This window comes from Homo sapiens, chromosome 20, assembly GCF_000001405.40.
Source record: "Homo sapiens chromosome 20, GRCh38.p14 Primary Assembly".
Taxonomy (NCBI): Eukaryota; Metazoa; Chordata; class Mammalia; order Primates; family Hominidae; genus Homo; species Homo sapiens.
The window spans coordinates 23,772,216-23,776,914 of NC_000020.11; the positions used below are offsets into that span (position 1 = coordinate 23,772,216).

The 4,699-nt window shown below is 54.7% G+C and overlaps 1 pseudogene, besides 1 other annotated feature; it reads right to left on the bottom strand.

Annotated features, from left to right (window-relative positions):
- On the bottom strand, positions 644-3,954 carry CSTP2 (cystatin pseudogene 2; annotated as a pseudogene).
- Positions 3,625-4,125: an enhancer, noted in NCBI's record as "H3K4me1 hESC enhancer chr20:23756477-23756977 (GRCh37/hg19 assembly coordinates)". NCBI's record gives its function as "activates a minimal SCP1, AML or CMV promoter by ChIP-STARR-seq in naive H9 embryonic stem cells {active_cell/tissue: H9 hESC(naive)}" and the evidence as "EXISTENCE:reporter gene assay evidence [ECO:0000049][PMID:30033119]".

The window sequence follows — 4,699 nt, forward strand, 5'->3', positions numbered from 1 at the left end:
CCCAGCATAGGGCACCATCTCTCAGCATAGGACACCACCTCTCATCATAGCACATAGCCTCCCAGCGCAGGGCACTACCTCCCAGTGTAATGCACAATCTCCCTGTTCAGCATAGGGTATGATCTCCCTGCGCAGGGCACACCCACATGGAACTGATGAAAGGAGGCACTGCTCTCACACTAGAACCTGGGCTGCTCCCTTTGGAAGAGGTCAGACTTGGAGGAGGGGGCTGGTGGACAAGGAGAGTTTCATAAAGGGTCCGCCAAAACCCTTCCTGTTTGCACAGCCCTGGACAGCCAAGAACTCAGTGGGAGCAGATGCTACTGTTTAGTTGCAGGAGAAGGGGGCATGTGTACCATACACCGGGGCTGTAAGAAGCAAGGAGCCAGGGCAGAAACCCCTGCTGTGAAGAAAGCCTCCTGATGTCTTCTCTGCCTGTCTCCTGGTGAAGACCCTCAGAGGAGACCTCCCCCAGGGCAGGAACCACCAATTCAAGGGTGAGAGCACTACAGTGGCATGGGAGTAGGAGGTGGTTTGTGCAGCTGGCCTGGTACAAACCCCTAGACATTCTGACACGTGGATTTCACCAAGGACATTCTGTCCTCCCAAGGAACTTCATAGATCTGGAAAGAGCATAACTGTTTCCGTGAAAGGAAAGAGAGAGGGACTAACAGTGTCGGCTGCAGTTAAAGTGAGAGGCGCCCAGGCATGAGGCATCTGATGGAGGCAAGGATGGATGGAGGTGAGACACTGTGTCCCCACCTGCTCCTGCTGAGACCCAAGGAACTGAACCAAATTGTGCAGTGATTACTCCATTCCCCCTCTCAGGTGGGGATGGAAAGCTCCAGTTCACCAGGTGGCATTGCCCCCATTTCCAGCCTGCAGGGTTCTTGCCCCAGCACAGCCCTGGGAGGAGCAGCCTGTGCAAGGTCTCCGGAGCCCTAAGGGTGCAGGACAGGGGGAGGCAGCACACTGCCCCCAGCTCCTTCCACCTCCTGTGCCTAGGCCAGCACTATGAGGGGCCAGAGGGAAGAAGCCAGGGCAGGGCAGCTCCCCTTGAAAGAGCTGGGGCGTAGGGAGCGGGCGAGAAGGGGAGTGCGGGTCTTCCCAGATTGCAGACCTCACAAGAACAAGCAGGTCTTTGGAGAGGCTGTTGTTGGGTGAGCGGGGCAGGTCCAGGGCTTTGCAGCTAACAGGCCTCTAGGTCCCTCTAATCTGCTCAGCGTGGCGGTGGCTGTGGGCAGGTGCCTGAAGCTGGGATTAGACAGAGCCCCATCTCCCTGCCCAGCACCCAGCCCTGCAGCTGCTTCCTATGGTTCAGCAGGCAACAACCCTAAGCACATGAGGTGGAGCTCCCAGTACCCCCATTCCCAAGCTAAAGCCCTCTTAGCAAATCAAATTCCTCACTCCTCTCCACACCACCCCACCTACATGCACACACATATTCATCTACATGAACTCACCCCAACTCTCACCCACATGGATCTATGCACAAACGTCCATACTTCTCCCACACAACCACATGCACACTCCCATGCACCTCCCCCACACACTTGCACATGTGTGTGTACACATGCCCCTTTCCATGAGCAAAACACCTGCACACCTACTCACATGTACATGCACAGACATATAACTTCATATGCACATACATTCATGTCTCTCCCAACACACATCTGCCATGTTTGCATAAACACACATGCATGTCGCCATATAAATGTACCCATGCCTGCATGCCCTGCTCTAGGCATACCGATGCGCTTACACACATACCCTTCAAAACATATGAACGAGCACACACACACACACCCCTCTGCAATGCACAACTGTCCCCGACCCACATCATGCACACACCTCCTGAAGTTTTGGCTGGTCATGGAACGGACACTTTTCCAAGTTGGGCTGGGACCTGGCACATTTGATTTGCCCCATCTCCACATCAAAGATTTAGTTCATCGCAGCCACGACCTACTCACGTGAAAGAGCAGGATGCACGGACAGTGCTCTCCACCAGTTTCATGCACACACAGGCACATCACTGTGACTGAGTCAAGGGAATTGCCTGGGGCTTCATTCCTGCCTTCATGAGCTGCCCACACTCCCACCTGCAAGGCACACAGTCACCTCCTGCCGGCTGGCAGGGGTGATATGCCCCAGGCCTCCCTGGTAACTTGTTTTCTCTGTGCCAGTGCAAAGGATTAACTGAAATCTGCTGGCCCAAGGGGCAGGGACCCTGTATTTCTTCTAGGAAGGCTGTCGTCTGATGATGAAATTTCAGCTAACTTCCAGTTTCTAGCATTCAGCCCATTGAGCATCTTATTTCCTCCATTTAACTCAGATTTATTTATTCCCTCTTTTATCAGTAGGAGATGAGAGGCTTCACACAAATGTATGTTTTAGGCCAACAAGAGACTTCCTCTCTAGTGCCTCCATTCTGAGTGGATGCTTTAGTGCCGGCCTAAAACATCCATAAGAGACTTCCTCTCTAATGCCTCCATTCTGAGTGGATGTTTTAGGCCAATAAGGGACTTCCTCTCTAATGCCTCTGTTCTGAGTGGATGTTTTAGGCCAATAGGAGACTTCCTCTCTAATGCCTCCATTCTGAGTGGGTTTTTGGCTCCAGTATTTCTAGGGTCATACACCTACTTGTGTTAAACTTGCTATTGCAGAAGAGAATTGAATGCTTTCCCTGCACAGGGCATCATGGAGGCGCAACTTGTCAGAACTGGGAGAAGCACAGGAGAAGGAGCCCTGGGAACCAGGCTGTGGAACCAAGAGGTAGTTGTGTGTTCTCTAGGGCATCAGTCTCCCCATCTGTAAATTAGGATCCTGGGCCCAACAATTCACATCATCCACTGCTTCACTCTGAGTTACTGTCACACTTCAGAGACACTTGCAGGCCAGGAGGAACTGTGACACCAGCGAATGCACCTCATGTGCGGGCAGAGAGCACCAGCTGATGGCTGCAGGAGGAGAAACGGGGCTGGTCTGGACTCCTTTGAATTTCCAAGAGAAGGTGGAGGAGCTTTAAAGTCTATGTCACTGTTTGCTGCTCTGCCACGGGATGCACGTCAACCTGGGCCTGGTAGCCCTGCTGAATCTCCCTCCTGACCCAACTCCCTCCTCTACTCTGCTGGGTGACTGCTGTCCTCACTGGCTGAGTCTAACTCTGTGTCAGCTGGCAGAGGGAGGGTCATCAGGTGTGTTCCACCCCAGCAGGAACTCAGCAGTCCTGGGCTGCAGGAGGTGGTCAGTGAGTCTGAGGGTGAAGGCTGGTAGCCCTAAGGGGCTGTACCCAGGGCGTGACTTGGGGAGGGAAGCAGGGCTCTGCAGGACAAGGAGCCAGGCTCCTTTGTGGCCCCTGCAGAGAGGAGTCAGAGAGGAGGATGAGCCTCATGGCCTGGATCTCATCCTGAGCAGCACCAAGCCCACCCAGAGTCCGCACAGTCTCCATCCACACCTGCTGGACCCTGGGAAATGCTAACATCATGGCACAGACCCAGTGACTGCTGCAGGTTAAAGGTGGCCAAGTGGACACGACAAGGCTGAACTCAAGCACTCATGGCCCAAGAGCATCCTTGGGCTTGAAGGCCGTCAGCGGACTGTCAGGGAAAGCTGAATGAGTCTGAGCCTTAGATCATGAATGTGTCAGTGCTGATTTGCTGGGAATGCTCTCAGAGGGGCAAAGCAGAGGCTATGGCATCCCTAGGTGTGGTGGCAGCACCCACCTGCTCTCTGGCTCGCAGCACCCACAGCGGGCGTCTGTAGTACTGATCTTTGGTGGCCTTGTTGTACTTGCTAATGGTGAAGTGAAGGGCACGCTGTACCCACTCATCATTGAGGTGTGTGTCATAGATGTCACCCCGATTGTCCTTCCTCCTCCTCGGGGCTCCAGGACAGGGCCACTGCCAGGGCGGCCAGCAGGAGCAGCAGAGTGCACAGGGGCCGGGCCATGGGCTTCTCAGAGGCAGAGCGCAGAGCTGGAGCTGCAGGAGATGAGGGAGAGAGCCTAAGGTAGGGAGCCCAGACCAGCAGGCAGCTGTGCATTTATCGTGCTTCCGCAGCCCCAGCCCACCCCACTCCATGCCCGCCCTTGGCTCCTCCTCCTCTTTCTGCCCATCCCCCTCTTTATCCATCTCTCATTTCACTACTCCCCCTACCCGCCCCGCCCGGCCCCCCATAACCTCCCTCCCTGCCTAAGTTCCCCCTGCCCCTCCGCCCCTGCCCCTCCATCCCCCAGTCTGCTCCTCCGTCTCCCCCTCCTCCTCACTACTCTCCTCACTCCCACCCCTTTTCCAGCCCTGCCCCTCCACCCCATTGCTCCCAAGCTGGCTCACCGTTGTCCCCAGAGAGGGCACACTGCTCACTGGGCTGTGAAAGCAACATGACCTCCTGTTTCCTCAGAAAAGGGAAAAGTGCAGGGCCCTCCTGGGATCTTCAGTTTTCAGAGGCATCAGTGAGAGCTTGGTCACAGTCTGGGAATCCATGAAACAGAGAGATGATTTCAGGAGCTCCTGGAAGGCTTATTCTGCATCCTGCTCTGGGGAATTTCTTTGCCAGACATAAGAGAATTAATGTTTTGCAAAAGGCCATTAGGTTCTCTTTTCATGAGTCCTCATTATTCAATGCACAAACCCTTTACCAGCTCCTCCTGGTACCAGGTGGTCTAGGACCTAGAGAGGGAGCACGGATGACCGAG